General features: G+C 48.9%; 1 protein-coding gene across 1 annotated transcript in view, besides 1 other annotated feature; it reads left to right on the forward strand.

The window, feature by feature from the left end:
• Positions 1-17,586, forward strand: part of POLR2A (RNA polymerase II subunit A) — a 30,251-nt gene that overhangs the window by 1,570 nt on the left and 11,095 nt on the right. The window contains 17 exon segments of the mRNA NM_000937.5: positions 10,006-10,138; positions 10,275-10,411; positions 10,505-10,678; positions 10,829-11,110; positions 11,421-11,582; positions 11,715-11,935; positions 12,143-12,275; positions 13,104-13,228; positions 13,346-13,556; positions 14,704-14,913; positions 15,005-15,173; positions 15,354-15,448; positions 15,591-15,794; positions 15,965-16,187; positions 16,583-16,766; positions 17,186-17,357; positions 17,450-17,555. Of these exon segments, the coding sequence (NP_000928.1) occupies positions 10,006-10,138; positions 10,275-10,411; positions 10,505-10,678; positions 10,829-11,110; positions 11,421-11,582; positions 11,715-11,935; positions 12,143-12,275; positions 13,104-13,228; positions 13,346-13,556; positions 14,704-14,913; positions 15,005-15,173; positions 15,354-15,448; positions 15,591-15,794; positions 15,965-16,187; positions 16,583-16,766; positions 17,186-17,357; positions 17,450-17,555 (2,941 nt within the window).
• Positions 15,832-17,031: an enhancer, noted in NCBI's record as "BRD4-independent group 4 enhancer chr17:7405086-7406285 (GRCh37/hg19 assembly coordinates)". NCBI's record gives its function as "activates an origin of replication core promoter dependent on BRD2, P300/CBP, MED14 and CDK7 cofactors, and independent of BRD4, by STARR-seq in HCT116 cells {active_cell/tissue: HCT116}" and the evidence as "EXISTENCE:reporter gene assay evidence [ECO:0000049][PMID:35650434]".

Here is a 17,586-nt window from a genome sequence, read left to right on the forward strand (position 1 = left end):
GGCAGCCAGTCGTCGAAGCCATAGTTTGGATGGCGAGAGCTTTTCCGGCAGAGGAAATAGCAAGTGCAAAGGGCCTGAGGGAGAAATGAACTTGGGCTTGTCCTACAGGGTGAAAGGCGGCCGGTGTGGCTGAGGTTTAGTGGATGAGAGAAGAGTGTTACAGAAATAGGCTGGAGAAGCATGGGATATTGTATATTATGGTAAGGAGTCAGGACTTAATTCCATTTTCAGTAGGTAGTCGTTGACAATTATAAACAGAGTGACAGCACATTTGAAAAAACTACTGCTGTAGTTGCTCTATGAAGAACTGATGCGAGAGGAGGAGAGACCAGAGAGAGGAGGGCAGCCCTAGGGGAGAGCTATTGGTGACTTGGACTTTTTCCCTTGTGGCGCTAAGTAGAGGAGCCCACTGGCTGGAAAGAATGGAGTTAAGTGGCTGTTTGTGGATAGAGACCATTTTTGCTGGGAGAAAGTTCAGCTATGTCAGGAGTCAGAACGTCCTGACCTCACACCATACCACAGAATCAGTTCCAGATGAAGTTAAGACTTAAACCTAAAAAAACCCATAAAGCACTAGAAAAAAAATAGAAGGCTTTTGCAGGGCTGATACCAGAGACAGAAGTCCTTAATAGTAGTGAATTAATTATAGGCAAATTTTATGGAGTGCCTAAAATGAGCTAAACGTTATATATAAGGAAGACCAAGGCAGATTTCACTACATAAAAATAAGAGCCACTTCTGTTTATAGAGGCACTGTGGCAAAGCTGAAAAACAGATCAGGAAACAGTATTTGCAATTACGCAGACAAGGTTAAATTTATTGATGTACAAGGAACACAAATCAGTAAGGAAAGTACCTATCTACTAGAAAAATGGGTAAAGGAGATGAATAGGCAGTTCACAGAAATAGTGCAAATGGCCAACAAAGAGTAGACTTTCTAATAAAAAAAATCCAGATTAAAATAAAATTTTTTCTCATCTGATTTTTTTTCCCTGCTGGCAAAAATACTGGGAAATAGACGTGCTTATACATTGTTGGTAGAAAGATAGATTGGTATAACCTTTTTGGAGGATGGTCTGACAATTTTTTTTTTTTCGAGATGGAATCTCACTCTTGTTGCCCAGACTGGAGTGCAGTGGCACGATCTTGGCACACTGCAACCTCCACCTCTCGGGTTCAAGCGATTCTCCTGCCTTAGCCTCCCAAGTAGCTGGGATTACAGGCGTGTGCCACGATGCCTGGCTATTTTTGTATTTTAGTAGAGATGGGGTTTTGCCGTGTTGCCCAGGCTGGTCTTGAACTCCTGACCTCAGAGGACCCGCCCGCCTTGGCCTCCCAAAGTGCTGGGATTACAGGCATGAGCCACCATGCCCGGCCTCTGGTCTAACAATTTTATCAACCTTTTAATATGTAAATCATTTGATCAAGCATTACCACTTATAAAAATTCATCCTTAGGTTAAAAAAGCTTAATTATCCCCTCAATGATGCCCCTTTCCCAGTCTTGCATGGTTCATTAAATAGTTTCTCCATTCATCCATTTGCTCAGGCCAAAAATCTAAAAGCCATCTTTGATTCTCTTTCTCACAATCTCCACTTAGTCCATCTGCCAGAGTGTCAGTCCTACCTTTCAAAATATGCCTGGAATCCAGCCATTTATGACCATCTCCACCACCATGTCCCACCATATCCCACCCTACTGTCATCTTTCCTGTGGGGTGCTATAGAGCCCTAATTGGTCTTCCTACAGTTTGTAAGAACAGCTAGAACAGGCTAGAGAGATCTCTTCATCCCTTCCCTTCATAGAATCCTTTCCAGAGGTTTCAGGACTCCTTACTCTGACCTATAAAGTGCTGTTTTATCTGGCTCCTGCTTGCTTCTCCATCTCATTACTAGTCTCCTCTTTGCTTTTCTTGAACCACGCTGACTGCTTGCTCCTCTAACACTGCAAGCTTATTCCCACCTCAAGGACTTTATTATTCACTATTCCTCCTGCTTGGAACAACGTTGCTCAGACCTCTGCTCTGCATGCCTGTTCCTTTATGTCTGTATGTTCTGTGTTGAAATGGCATATCTTTTTTTTTTTTTGGACACGGGGTATCCCTCTGTCCCCCAGGCTGGAGTGCAGTGGCTCGATCCCAGCTCACTGCAGCCTCTTGGGCTCAAAAGATGCTCCCTGGCCAGGCTCAATCACGTCTGTAATCCCAGCACTTTGGGAGGCCAAGGTGGGCAGATAACGAGGTCAGGAGTTTGAGACCAGCCTGGCCAAAATAGTGAAACTCTGTCTTTACTAAAAATACAAAAATTAGCTAGGTGTGGTGGCACGCCTCTGTAGTCCCAGCTACTAGGGAAGCTGAGGTAGGAGAATCAGTTTAACCTGGGAGGTCGAGGTTGCATTGAGCTGATACTGTGCCATTGCACTCCAGCCTGCGTGACGGAGTGAGACTGTCTCAAAAAAAAAAAAAAAAAGGCCAGGCGCGGTGGCTCACACCTGTAGTCCCAGCACTTTGGGAGGCTGAGGCGGGCGGATCACGAGGTCAGGAGATCGAGACCGTCCTGGCTAACACGGTGAAACCCCGTCTCCCCTAAAAATACAAAAAATTAGCAGGGCGTGGTGGCAGGTGCCTGTAGTCCCAGCTACCTGGGAGGCTGAGGCCGGAGAATGGCGTGAACCCGGGAGGTGGAGCTTGCAGTGAGCCGAGATTGCGCTCCTGCATTCCAGCCTGGGCAACAGAGCGAGACTCCGTCTCAAAAAAAAAAAAAAAATGCTCCCACCTCAGACAGACCCCCAACCCCCACCTCAGTAGCTGGGACAACAGGCTCATACCACCATGCCTAATTTTTAAATTTGTTGTAGAGATGGGTTCTCACTATGTTACCTAGGCTGGTGAACTGGGCTCAAGCGATCCCCCTCCTCTGCCTCCCAAAGTGCTGGGATTCCAGGCATGAGCCACTGCGCCTGGCCGATGTCATATCTTTAGGAGCGCTTCCCTGACCACTCTGTTTAAATAGCATCCCCCGCCCTTCCCTTGTTTTCTCTGATCATTCTCTGCTATATTTTCCTTCACAGCCTGTCACTCCAGAAAGGATTAGTTTTTCTGTTTCTTGCTTCCTTGCTAGAGAATGAATTTCATGAGGGACTTTGTCTGTGTTATTCATGTTCCCTTAGTATCTCAGGTAGTGCCTGGCACATGATAGACATGTAATAAAAATTAGTTGAATAAACAAGTGAATGAAATAATTGGGCAAATATGCATAGATAATGTAGAAGGACTTTTATTGCAACATTGTTTGAAAGTGACAATTATAAATTACTCGGTATTTACTAATAGGAATCCTGTTGAATAACTTAGGGTGTATTCTTACAATGTAATAGAGGAACTTCCCAATAAGGTCCCACACTGTGCTGATGCCCTGAGACACTGTGGCACACGGTGGGCACAGTGAGGTATTTTAAATTTCCAAGAGAAACACAGGTACATTTGTCAGATACCCTGGAACTCCTAGTTCCTGGTAGTTCTGTTTCAACATTAGATGGTGCCAAATCCCTTTCTATAATGTCATATTTTTGTGAAACTGGGTTTTTAGCAGTTGCTAAGTACAGGCAAAAATCAGTTTGTAGAAGAAATAAAGGTGGTGCTGTTTAGTCTGATTCCAAGGTTTGAGAGGTGCAGTGCCTAACAGGCGCCATAAGTGAGTGAGATGGTTATTTGGTAAAGAAATAAAAATGTTATTTTGTTTTAATATATTAATAGTATTTTCAACTTGTGTGTATTTTCTCAAATGGCTAGTAAGTTCCTAGGACATAAATGCTTAAGTTGTTTGGGTCTAGGTGCTTAATAAATTGCTGTCTTTTCTTGGAAAGATGGAGTCTTGCTCTGTTGCCTAGGCTGGAATGCAGAGGTGAGATCTCAGCTCACTGTAACCTCTGCCTCCTGGGTTCAAGCTACTCTCCTCCCTCAGCCTCTCAAGCAGCTGGGATCACAGGCATCCGCCACCATGCCCGGCAATTTTTGTATTTTTGGTAGAGACAGGGTTTCACCACATTGGCCAGACCGGTCTCAAACTTCTGACCTCAAGTGATCTGCCCACCTTGGCCTCCCCAAGTGCTGGGATTGCAGGTGTGAGCCACCGCGCTCGGCTGTGGCTCTCTTTTGACCTAGTAAGTGCTGTGAGAGTTACTGAAATGGTAAGGGCACTGTGGGCTGTTGATAATGTTAGGGAATCTATGGATAAATGAAAAAGTTACTCAGAAGTATGCAGAGTGAAGGCCTTATGTTAAAGTGGGAACGTATTTACGGTTTTTTTAAAGCATGAAAAAAAATGCATGCCGTGGCTCATGCCTGTAATCCCAGCACTTTCGGAGCCTGAGGCAGGAGGATCATTTGAGGCCAGGAGTTCAGGACCAGCCTGGGCAACACAGCAAGACCCTATCTCAATTTAAAAATAATAATAACAAATGGGCTGAGCACGGTGGCTCACTCCTGTAATCCCAGCACTTCGGGAGGCCAAGGTGGGCAAATCCCCGAGGGTCAAGAGTTCAAGACCATCCTGTCCAGCCTAGTGAAACCCCGTCTGTACTAAAAATATAAAAAGCAGCTGGGTGTAGTCGTGGGTGCCTGTAATCCCAGCTACTTGGGAGGCTGAGGCATATGAACCACTTGAACCTGGTAGGCGGAGGTTGTACTGACCCAAGATGGAATAATAACAAATAAAAGTATGGGACACTGTTGACAAAGCTCTACCAGAGTCATCTCTGGGGTGTAGGATTGTTGGGCTTCGATAGTGCTCTGCATGTCTTGCAGTTTATACGATGTCTGTATTTTGAGGGACCAACAGACGGTTCAATTTTGGGTAGAAGGATGGGTGAGGGTGAGTAAGGTGCCTCTTGTTGTGAAACAGGTGGTATTTTAGGCTAAAATGTTTTACAGAAGTCTTAGGGGTCAGAGTGTATGGAGGTACGGAGGGGTCTTTGAATTGGCTTTGAGATAGAGCTGTTGTCCTTGCTGTTAGAAGATGGATTTAGATGTTGCTAGGTGAGGGGAAGGTTACAAGGCGGGTTGGTACTAGAGCTTTGTACCAGCGTGTGCACAAAATTTTGGGGAAAGAGGGTGCTGGATTTCCTTCGCAGTAGTTGACCCCTATTCATTAAAAACAACTGTCTATCATGGAATGCATAACTTATTTATACCCTGACTTATTTAAATAAGGATTTAAAGCAGTAATCTGTTCTTTTTTTTTTTGATACGGACTCCAGCTCTGTTGCCCAGGCTGGAGTATAGTGGCACAGTCTGTGCTCACTGCAACCTCTGCCTCCTGGATTCAAGCGATTCTTCTGCCTCAGCCTCCCGAGTAGCAGGAACTACAGGAGCACGCCACCACACCCAGCTAATTTCTTTTTTGTATTTTTAGTAGAGACGGGATTTTACTGTGTTGTCCAGACTGGTCTCGAACTCCTGACCTTGTGATCCACCCACCTTGGCCTCGCAAAGTGCTGGGATTACAGGCATGAGCCACCGCACCTGGCCTAGTTTTTGTATTTTTATTAGAGACAGGGTTTTACCATGTTGGCCAGGCTGGTCTCGAACTCCTGACCTCAGGTGATCTGCCTGCATTGGCGTCCCAAAGTGCTGGGATTACAGGCTTGAGCCACTGCGCCTGGTCAATAATGTATTCTTTTAGGTAGAGTGTGGGCTACATTGATGAGTGAGAAGATGATCCTTGTTTTCAAGTTACCTATAATCTTGTGAGGGATTTCCTATGTATGCAGCAAATAGTTACTGAGCCTCAACCATATGTTGGTTACTGTGCTAGGTGCTGAGGATATGAAGAGAAAACATGACCCTTGCCCTCAAGGATTACAGTCCAATGAGAGAGACAGATGTGTCACCAAGTAATTAAAATTGGGCTGAGAACCTTGCTGGGGTGTGCATAAGACTAGGAAGAGTTAGAGAAGACTTCATAAGGAGGTGACCTCTGAACTGGGTCTTAAAGAATAAATAGAAGTTTACTCCCAAGGGGGTGTGTGAAGCAAAAGGAGATTTGAGAAATCTATTGTATTTAGAACATAAATGTGGGAGGCGGGTAGGAGAATGTGGTACCAAATAAAGCTGTAAAAGCAACTTGAAGCCAAATTGTAATAAGGACCTTGTTAGCTTTGCTAAAGCAGAGGAAAGAGGACGAGTATTTACTGAGATTCAATGACAGCCCTTTTGTTATTGTGGCCTCAGGGGCAGAACCCAAAGAGAACCCAGCCTGACTGGCCACCCCCTCAAGTGTTTAACCTTTATCCTGTAGGCAGTGAGAACCATTGTTGGCCGAAGGGTTGGGGGCTAATTTAAAATGACAGTTTGAGGCCTGGTGCGGTGGCTCACGACTGTAATCCCAACACTTTGGGAGGCTAAGGTGAGTGGATCACTTGAGGCCAGGAGTTTGAGACCATCCTGGCCAACATGGTGAAACCCTGTCTCTACTAAAAATACAAAAATTAGCCAAGTGTGGTGAGCACCTGTAATTCCAGCTACTTGGGAGGCTGAGGCACAAGAATCACTTGAACCTGAGAGGCAGAGGTGGCAGTGAGCCGAGATTGTACCACTGCACTCCAGCCGGGGTGACAGCAAGACCCTGTCTCAAAAAAAAAAAGTAAAATAAAATAAAAAATGAGAGTTCGTGAACTTGGTGATGGAGGGATAGCTCTTCTCATTAACAAGGATATGCGTGTCTGCTGTCTAGGACACCCCCTGACCCGGTCTCAGAAAGCCTGAAAGCAGAATTAGTCATTAGAAGGGTGGTTGGCTTGGTCGGCATAGACTTTGAGCAGAAAGAGGTTGAAAATGTTGAGCCTGATTTCTCTTAGGCCCCTCTGCAGTGTCTGTTGTGGAGGCCAGATACGTAACTGCTTCCGCTTTTTTTGGTCTCATTCAAGGTGAGCAAATCCCCTTCATGTTTCTCACCAGACAATGCAGCTGATGAGGTTCCAGCTTTGCAAATGTAGTCATCCATGAGGACTGTCTTCCTGAGATTTCATCAGGTCATGTTGATGAGAGTTTTGAACCTGTCTGAGGCTGAGAGGTGTGCAGAACTTCTTCAGCTTTGCATCTGTAGACCATTTTGGTTTCTACCCAGCAGTGGCCAATCAGACCTATTATGAGGGGATTACTGGTTTGACTGTCAGAGGGTAACCTCTCTTTTTCCAAGTTTTTTGAGGGTACCTCCCTCCAGTGGAGAGTCCTAAGCAGTAGGTCAATTTAACAGACATTTGTTAGGAGCCCACCATGTTTCAGGCAGGCACATGGGATTCAGGATGGTTGAGGCATTCTGCCTGCCTGAGAGGTGCTTATAGTTATAGGGAAGACAGACCCCCATAGGTCATTTTATTGCATTGTTGTATGTGCAGTGATAGAGGGCTGTGGAAGCACAGAGGAGGGGTGCCTGTCTACTTTGGGCAGGCTGTGGAAAGGCTTCCTGGAGGAAGCAGTGCCTGAGCCGAGTCTTGAAATAGGAGTTTTGCAGTGGGAAGAGCATTCCAAGCAGAGAGGCACTAGCATATAGAAAACCCCGGAGGAACGCAGCACGTGTTGCGCTGGATGTGATAGGCGACTCCAGGGAATTGTTACTGAGGAGTGAACAGGAAGGTGTGGAGCATCAGGGAAATGAAGGTTGAGAACATCATAAAATCCTTTTGGGAAGCTGTCCTGCTGAGTTTGGATGTCAGTCTGAGGACAAGAGGGTATGAATGATTACATTTTTAGTTTATTATTAATTTTTATTTTATTTATTTTTAGCACACATTTTTATTTTAGAATGAGCACCCCAGTTGTAATGTAGAAGGATTGGAGAGAGACAGGCTGGTGACCCATAGGAACGCTCTGTTGTAGACTACAAAGGAAGGGCCTGAACTAGGGCAATGGTGGTGGGGATGGAGAAGAGAGGCAAGATTCAAGAAACACTTAGGAGGCCAGGCGTGGTGGCTTATGTGTGTAAACCCAGCTGAGATTCCCGCCACTGCACTCCAGCCTGGGTGACAGAGCAAGACTTCTTAAAAAAAAAAGGGAGGTAAAAGTGACCAGTACCTGGTGAATGACTGAATAATAATAATGTCCATTCATAAAGCGCCAATTACATCCTGGACTTAAGCAAGCTAATTAAGTCCTTAATGGTTACATAGTTCATAAGTAATATAGGCAGAATTCCAAAGCAAGGGTGCCCGACAGCTAAGTCCATGTTCTTTGGACTGTTTTGTGCTTGAAGGTAAGGAAAGGTAAGCATAGGTTTCTGAATCTGGGATAGAGACTAAAGGAAAAAGAGAAGCTTTTGTGGAAAAGAGAGTTTGCTTTTAAACATGTTTAATTTGATTTTTTGGTGTGATGTTTGCAGGGGGTTCAGTAGGTAGTCACATACGTGAACCCAAAGTCCAGAAGAAAAGTAAGGCCTGGAATTAGAGAGTTGAGAATGAGTATCCAAGCATACCTTGGAGATACTGTGAGTTTGGTTCCAGCCCACCGCAATAAAGCAAGTCACATGGAGTTTTTTGGTTGCCATTGTGCATGTTACATTAGTACTATGCTGTAGTCTACTAAGTCTAAGTGTACAATAGCATTACAATTTTTTTTTTTTTTTGAGACGGAGTCTTGCTCTGTCATTCAGGCTGAAGTGCAGTGGTGCGATCTCAGCTCACTGCAACCTCCGCCTCCTGGGTTCAAGTGATTCTCCTGCCTCAGCCTCCCGAGTAGCTGGGATTACAGGTACCCATCACCACACCCAGCTAATTTTTTTGTATTTTTAGTAGAGATGGGGTTTCACTATGTTGGCCAGGCTGGTCTCAAACTCCTGACCTCAGGTGATCCACCCGTCTCAGCCTCCCAAAGTGCAGGGATTACGGGTGTGAGCCACCGCACCCGGCCCATCTACTTCTGAGTTCTTCTGTTTCCTCCTTTCCTTCATTGAAATGTCCCCATCAAGTCCTGGCTCTTCCTTTCTTGGGATTCCAGCTATTCACTTTTGCTTCAAATCATTTCCACCAACCTGTTTTTCTAGCACCTGTTTCTCCAGTCTTTTAATAAAATCTCTGGCCTGGCGCGGTGGCTCACGCCTGTAATCCCAGTACTTTGGGAGGCCGAGGCGGGTGGACCATGAGGTCAAGAGACCATCCTGGCCAACCTGGTGAAACCCTGTCTCTACTAAAAATACAAAAATTAGCTCGATGTGGTGGCGCTCACCTGTAGTCCCAGCTACTTGGGAGGCTGAGGCAGGAGAATCACTTGAACCCGGGAGGCAGAGGTTGCAGTGAGCTGCGATTGCGCCACTGCACTCCAGCCTGGCGACAGAGCGAGACTCCATCTCAAAACAAAACAAAACCAATAATAAAATCTCCATCTGGACACGAAAGGGTTCAAGCAGTTCAGGCCTTGAGAAGGAGGGCATGACAAAGATGAGGGAAAAGAAACAGGGCTGCATCTCTGAGTGCCTCGTTTCTTATCAGGGGCTTGAGTTGGCGGGGCATGTCTTGGTGCAGAACACCTGGGCTGTCATGGCGAGGGTACAGGTACAGAGAGGCTTCTGCCAGGATCTCAGATTCATGAGCTTGATTTCTGCTTGGGAGGAACAAATAAAGCATTGTTTTGTTTTTTTGTTTTTCCTGAAGCAACTTTGATTTCTTTTTGTGGCTAAATCCTATGGATGTCAGAGACCTAGAATTCAACCCAGATGGAAGTCTGGGGTTCATGTCCCAGTAGCAGGTGATTTGTATGGAACCCAGGATCGACCATTATCTAGTGTGAGTGCTTTTCCTGCCTCAGTGACTGGAATAAGCCTCTGACTTGGGATATTCAACTTTGGCCTTTTCAGAAGTGTACACACACCAATCCCCCATTCCCCTCACTCCAGGCTAAACTTAGTTCTTCTGTAAGTAGTTCAGGGTTTTCCCAGACCTTAGTCCAGAGCTCCCCAGCCACAAAGGCTAGAAACTAGGAACGCTGTTCAGTTGTTGGCCTTTCTTTCTTTGCAGAAGCGAATGTCTGTGACGGAGGGTGGCATCAAATACCCAGAGACGACTGAGGGAGGCCGCCCCAAGCTTGGGGGGCTGATGGACCCGAGGCAGGGGGTGATTGAGCGGACTGGCCGCTGCCAAACATGTGCAGGTAAGTGCTGGGGGGCCAGGTGGGATCCCAAAGGGGAGGTGGGTTGGGTCCTCAAAACTAGGGCTGACGGTTGACACCTGGAGGCCTCTGAGATGAGTGGGAGCTGGGAGGAAAGCACTGGGTGTGTGTCCCACAGGAAACATGACAGAGTGTCCTGGCCACTTTGGCCACATTGAACTGGCCAAGCCTGTGTTTCACGTGGGCTTCCTGGTGAAGACAATGAAAGTTTTGCGCTGTGTCTGCTTCTTCTGCTCCAAACTGCTTGTGGACTCTGTGAGTGGGGAACAGGCTCTGGTCTGGGAGCGGGGGTGCTTGGTAGGGGGCAGGGGGACAGCTTCAACTGACCCTGCTCTGCCCTGTCCCCAGAACAACCCAAAGATCAAGGATATCCTGGCTAAGTCCAAGGGACAGCCCAAGAAGCGGCTCACACATGTCTACGACCTTTGCAAGGGCAAAAACATATGCGAGGGTGGGGAGGAGATGGACAACAAGTTCGGTGTGGAACAACCTGAGGGTGACGAGGATCTGACCAAAGAAAAGGTGGCTGGGGCTGGCGGAGACTTTTGGGAAGGAGGGGTCAGAGGCCTGGAGGGAGGAAACTGGAAGGGAAGGAAACAGGAGGGGCTGGCCTGGTGTGGAGGGAAATGGCCCACCCTCTGGGCTCTGATGGCCCCTGTCTCTCCTTGGAAGGGCCATGGTGGCTGTGGGCGGTACCAGCCCAGGATCCGGCGTTCTGGCCTAGAGCTGTATGCGGAATGGAAGCACGTTAATGAGGACTCTCAGGAGAAGAAGATCCTGCTGAGTCCAGAGCGAGTGCATGAGATCTTCAAACGCATCTCAGATGAGGAGTGTTTTGTGCTGGGCATGGAGCCCCGCTATGCACGGCCAGAGTGGATGATTGTCACAGTGCTGCCTGTGCCCCCGCTCTCCGTGCGGCCTGCTGTTGTGATGCAGGGCTCTGCCCGTAACCAGGTCAGTGGCTCCAGGGCTCTGCCTCTTAGCTGGAGGGCGAGGTGTCTAAAGGGAGGAAGACCTGTAGGTGGGGATGGGTGGATGGACCTGGGTTTGAAAATTCCCCTGCTACTTACTAGCTGTATGATCTTTAATGAGTCCTTTCACATGGTTAAAGGCCACAAACGTGTTTCTGAATCTATAAATGATAGTGGGCAGTCCTGCCTCCTGGGGTGGTGTGAGGATGAGAGCTGTGCTGTGTGCCTGGTACGTTCCTGCCGAGCGCTGGCAGTGGTGGCTGGACCATGATGATTCTGACTTCCTGCCTCAGGATGACCTGACTCACAAACTGGCTGACATCGTGAAGATCAACAATCAGCTGCGGCGCAATGAGCAGAACGGCGCAGCGGCCCATGTCATTGCAGAGGATGTGAAGCTCCTCCAGTTCCATGTGGCCACCATGGTGGACAATGAGCTGCCTGGCTTGCCCCGTGTGAGTCAGCATGCTCCCCACCCCTCTGTGTATTGGAGCCAGGGTGGGGGCTAGCATGAGGCTTCAGAGCTCTGGAAGAGGGCCCAGTGCTGACTTTCTGGATTGCCCCCACCCTGTGTTTTTTCCTCACAGGCCATGCAGAAGTCTGGGCGTCCCCTCAAGTCCCTGAAGCAGCGGTTGAAGGGCAAGGAAGGCCGGGTGCGAGGGAACCTGATGGGCAAAAGAGTGGACTTCTCGGCCCGTACTGTCATCACCCCCGACCCCAACCTCTCCATTGACCAGGTTGGCGTGCCCCGCTCCATTGCTGCCAACATGACCTTTGCGGAGATTGTCACCCCCTTCAACATTGACAGGTGTGCCTCCGTTGGAAAGCCCTTCCTGGAATGGCTAGGGAAGACATGGCCTCAGTGGCAAGGCTTCGAGAGTCTGCTCCTCCTACCTCGGGCGTGGGCTTGGAGCAAGGAGGAATTGAAGTTCTGAAGTTTAACTTCCACTCAGGGAGGGTGGCTGCAGGGGTATTTTAGGAAGCATTGAGTTCATTGCACCTCTTTCCTTCCTAGACTTCAAGAACTAGTGCGCAGGGGGAACAGCCAGTACCCAGGCGCCAAGTACATCATCCGAGACAATGGTGATCGCATTGACTTGCGTTTCCACCCCAAGCCCAGTGACCTTCACCTGCAGACCGGCTATAAGGCACGTAGCAGGCCAGGGCCTCTCTCAGCCACCTGAGCAGAAAGCTTTCCAAGATAGGGCAGGCTGGGTTAGGCCATCTGAGTCTGTCTCGTTCATTGGGATCCAGACTTGACTGTCTTGTTAAAGGCTGTTGCTGCCCAGGTGTGCAGGGAGCTGTTGGTCTCTGGCATTCAGGGTGGGGGTGGTATAAACCCGGGGCAGCTTGCATATGGCAGGGAAGAGGGATCCGTGGAGGAACAGTGCAGAAGGCTTTATGTTCAGAATCTCTCTTGCTTTTCTTCTAGACTGAGTTCCTTGAGATTGGTGAATGCTGTGTATTATTCATCCCTGATAACCTGGTGTTTGGCCCAGGGCCTTGTCCAGAGGAGTGTTTAATAAGTGTTTCAAGTGAATTAGCACCACGATGTCATCTCTTTTCAGTTTACAAAGGACTTTTTTTTTTTTTTTTTTTTTTTTAAAGAAGACAGTCTCGCTCTATCGCCCAGGCTGGAGTGTAGAATGCAGTGCTGTGATCTTGGCTCACTGCAACCTCTACCTCCCAGGCTCAAGCGATTCTTCTGCCTCAGCCTCCCGAGTAGCTAGGATTACAGGCGCGCGCCACCACACCTAGCTTATTTTTGTATTTTCAGTAGAGATGGGGTTTCACCATGTTGACCAGGCTGGTCTCAAACTCCTGAGCTTAAGTGACGTGCCCGCCTCAGCCTCCCAAAGTGCTTGGATTATAGGTGTGAGCCACTGCACTGGACTTGCAAAGGACTTTAGGTCCATTGTCCTTTTATTCTTAGATACCTCCTTCACTGAGACCTTTTCCTTACCTCACCTCTCTAGGTGGAACGGCACATGTGTGATGGGGACATTGTTATCTTCAACCGGCAGCCAACTCTGCACAAAATGTCCATGATGGGGCATCGGGTCCGCATTCTCCCATGGTCTACCTTTCGCTTGAATCTTAGGTCAGTCCCTGGCTGAGGGAAGCAGGCTGGAATTGGTGGGAGGCGGGCAGGCTGGGTGGCTCCTCAAGGTTTCGCTGCAGACATCTTCCCAACCCTGACTTTTCTCTTTAACTGTAGTGTGACAACTCCGTACAATGCAGACTTTGACGGGGATGAGATGAACTTGCACCTGCCACAGTCTCTGGAGACGCGAGCAGAGATCCAGGAGCTGGCCATGGTTCCTCGCATGATTGTCACCCCCCAGAGCAATCGGCCTGTCATGGGTATTGTGCAGGACACACTCACAGCAGTGCGCAAATTCACCAAGAGAGACGTCTTCCTGGAGCGGGTGTGTGGTCCAAATGGAAACCTGGCTTAAGTGGGCAGTGGGGCTCTGGGGTGCAAGGTGGAGGCTAGAGAGGAAGAGCTGTGTTTTTTTTCCTGACTTACCCAGCAGTGGTCTGTGAGATTGTCTTTTCTGGTGGGCGAACAAAAAGGGGGTTAGGAAAACTCAGGCCAAAAAGGTGTAAGGCGTTAATTCCCCATTTAATTCCTTAAAATTTCATGTAATACCAGGTATTGCCTGTAAAGGAAAGATAAAGGGAAAAATAAGTAAGACCTTGTTCAAATTTTATTTTTCTATTTTAACCTTCACTTATTTCCTAATTATTAAAAGAAATTTATGCTTATTGTTAAGAACAAAAACAAAAATTTCAGTATTACAATGAATTTTTAATTAAAAGTTTTTGGGGCCGGGCGCAGTGGCTCACGCCTGTAATCCCAGCACTTTGGGAGGCCGAGGCGGGTGGATCACGAGGTCAGGAGATCAAGACCATCTTGGCTAACACGGTGAAACCCCATCTCTACTGAAAAATACAAAAAATTAGCCGGGCGTAGTGGCATGAGCCTGTAGTCCCAGCTACTTGGGAGGCTGAGGCAGGAGAATGGCGTGAACTCGGGAGGCAGAGCTTGCAGTGAGCCGAGATCACACCACTGCACTCCAGCCTGGGCGACAGAGCGAGACTCCGTCTCAAAAAAAAAAAAAAAAAAGTTTTTGGGACTGGGCATGGTGACTCACACCTGTAATTCTAGCACTTTGGGAGGCCGAGGCAGGCACATCATTTGAGGCCAGGAGTTGGAGACAACTCTGGCCAACATAGAGAAACCCCGTCTCTACCAAAAATACAAAAATTAGCCGGACATGGTGGCAGGTGCCTGTAATCCCAGCTACTTGAGAGGCTGTGGCAGGAGAATTGCTTGACCCCAGGAGGCGGAGGTTGCAGTGAGCCCTGATTGCACCATTGCACTCCAGCCTGGGTAAACAGCAAGACCCTGTCTCAAAAAATTAAAGGTTGGAAAAAACTTTTCCTGTCATCTTTGCCTCCAAAATCTGGCTTTCTCCCTTGGGCAGGGAAACCTCCCCAACATTTCTCTATCATCCCTGAGATGTGGGGCCTGCACTCTGACTTCTGTCTGCCTTACTCTTTGTCTTACAGGGTGAAGTGATGAACCTCCTGATGTTCCTGTCGACGTGGGATGGGAAGGTCCCACAGCCGGCCATCCTAAAGCCCCGGCCCCTGTGGACAGGCAAGCAAATCTTCTCCCTCATCATACCTGGTCACATCAATTGTATCCGTACCCACAGCACCCATCCCGATGATGAAGACAGTGGCCCTTACAAGCACATCTCTCCTGGGGACACCAAGGTAGGGCTTGGCTTCTGGATATGTGAGGACAGAATTTGGACGTGGGAGCCAGGACCAGAGCAGGGGCCTTGAGTGGGTGCTTTGTCCTTAGGTGGTGGTGGAGAATGGGGAGCTGATCATGGGCATCCTGTGTAAGAAGTCTCTGGGCACGTCAGCTGGCTCCCTGGTCCACATCTCCTACCTAGAGATGGGTCATGACATCACTCGCCTCTTCTACTCCAACATTCAGACTGTCATTAACAACTGGCTCCTCATCGAGGGTGAGCATGGAGGCGTGGTACCAAGACGTCTCTGTGAATTCTCTAACTTCTTACTGTCCTTCCATCCCTTTCTTTCCTCCTTGGATTTGGTGCCCCCTGCTTCTACTCTCTTGGCTATAATTCCATTCCATGTTTCTTAGAGGTCCAAAGGGGTTTGCTGATGTTTTTCCCTGTCTCTAGGTCATACTATTGGCATTGGGGACTCCATTGCTGATTCTAAGACTTACCAGGACATTCAGAACACTATTAAGAAGGCCAAGCAGGACGTAATAGAGGTAAGAGGGGAGGCCACCAGAGACGGAATAAGGGGTTTCCAGGGACTTCGAAGTTAGCATCATCAAGAGCAAAGGGAGTGTAAGGTTAGAGGGAAGGGGCAGAGAGTAGGGATTGATGTCTCACCGAGAACTCTGCCTCCAGGTCATCGAGAAGGCACACAACAATGAGCTGGAGCCCACCCCAGGGAACACTCTGCGGCAGACGTTTGAGAATCAGGTGAACCGCATTCTTAACGATGCCCGAGACAAGACTGGCTCCTCTGCTCAGAAATCCCTGTCTGAATACAATAACTTCAAGTCTATGGTCGTGTCCGGAGCTAAAGGTTCCAAGATTAACATCTCCCAGGTGAGAAGCCTTGTTTTTCCATATACGGGGCCGCTGTGAAGTTTGGGAGGAGGAAGGAAGGTGTTTGTATGTATTAGGGTCAGGAGAATCACGGGAGTTGGGGGAAATTTTGGGAACTGTTATTCTTAAGGCAGAGGGAATTCAGTATACACCACCTTTCTGTTTCCCAGGTCATTGCTGTCGTTGGACAGCAGAACGTCGAGGGCAAGCGGATTCCATTTGGCTTCAAGCACCGGACTCTGCCTCACTTCATCAAGGATGACTACGGGCCTGAGAGCCGTGGCTTTGTGGAGAACTCCTACCTAGCCGGCCTCACACCCACTGAGTTCTTTTTCCACGCCATGGGGGGTCGTGAGGGGCTCATTGACACGGCTGTCAAGACTGCTGAGACTGGTGAGGCTTTCCTCAGGGGTCTTCCTTGGGCTGTTAGCAGGGACTGCTGCAGGCTGAGAAACCCCTAACAGGTGGGGAGCGGAAATGCTCAGGCTCCTATTCCCAGGGTATAATTCTGGCCCTTGTGGAAAGAATAGAGTCTCAAGAGTAGGCAAACACCCTTGTTTGGATTGCTGTGCAGCATTGCACAGTGCAGGGACAGAGCTTCCGGGGCTCTGCCGGCCTGTCCCATGGGAGTGGTTCCTGCTGGGCTTTTTGTCCGTCTAGTGGTAGACACTGAGTTTGCATTCAAAGGCCTCAGACACAGAGAGTACTAGCTGACTCTTCTGACAGTCAGGTAGGTTAAGGCCCCAGCCTGGGTCTTTGGGCTTTATCATCCCCTTACTTCCCTCCAGGATACATCCAGCGGCGGCTGATCAAGTCCATGGAGTCAGTGATGGTGAAGTACGACGCGACTGTGCGGAACTCCATCAACCAGGTGGTGCAGCTGCGCTACGGCGAAGACGGCCTGGCAGGCGAGAGCGTTGAGTTCCAGAACCTGGCTACGCTTAAGCCTTCCAACAAGGCTTTTGAGAAGAAGTGAGGAGGCGGGCAGGCGGGTGGTTCTCGCCCCTGGGGCTCAGGGCCTGAGTAGTAGGATTCCCATACCTATTCCAGAGAGATAGCCTGGTATGTGTCTTGCACTAGAGCTTACCTTTCAGCATCCTTCCCCACCTATCTGAAACAGCTGTGTGACATGGGGGAGGTGGTGGATGGAGGTGGATTTAAGATTGGTCCCCACATCGTCCCTGCTGATATTATAAAGCAGATGCAGAGGGGTGGGCCTGTACTCAGGTCCCAGTGGCAGTCCTTGGGCCTGAATTTTTCTCTGTCCAGGATTCTTGCCTCCAAACCACTGTACTTGGTCGGCTGTGCACCTTTGGGAACCTTACAGTGCGTTTTGTGGGGACCAAGGTCCCAGAGCCCACCTGTCCACTAGCTACCCCTTGCACTTCCAGGTTCCGCTTTGATTATACCAATGAGAGGGCCCTGCGGCGCACTCTGCAGGAGGACCTGGTGAAGGACGTGCTGAGCAACGCACACATCCAGAACGAGTTGGAGCGGGAATTTGAGCGGATGCGGGAGGATCGGGAGGTGCTCAGGGTCATCTTCCCAACTGGAGACAGCAAGGTGCGTGTGGGTCGAAGTGCTGATGCTAGAGATGTGCCTCCCTGGATGGCTGTCCCCAGACACAGCCCTCCCTCCATTTCCCCCTCTCTCAGGTCGTCCTCCCCTGTAACCTGCTGCGGATGATCTGGAATGCTCAGAAAATCTTCCACATCAACCCACGCCTTCCCTCCGACCTGCACCCCATCAAAGTGGTGGAGGGTAAGTACCTGCTTAGGGGTCTCCAAGCCAG

This window comes from Homo sapiens, chromosome 17, assembly GCF_000001405.40.
Source record: "Homo sapiens chromosome 17, GRCh38.p14 Primary Assembly".
NCBI classification, from domain to species: domain Eukaryota; kingdom Metazoa; phylum Chordata; class Mammalia; order Primates; family Hominidae; genus Homo; species Homo sapiens.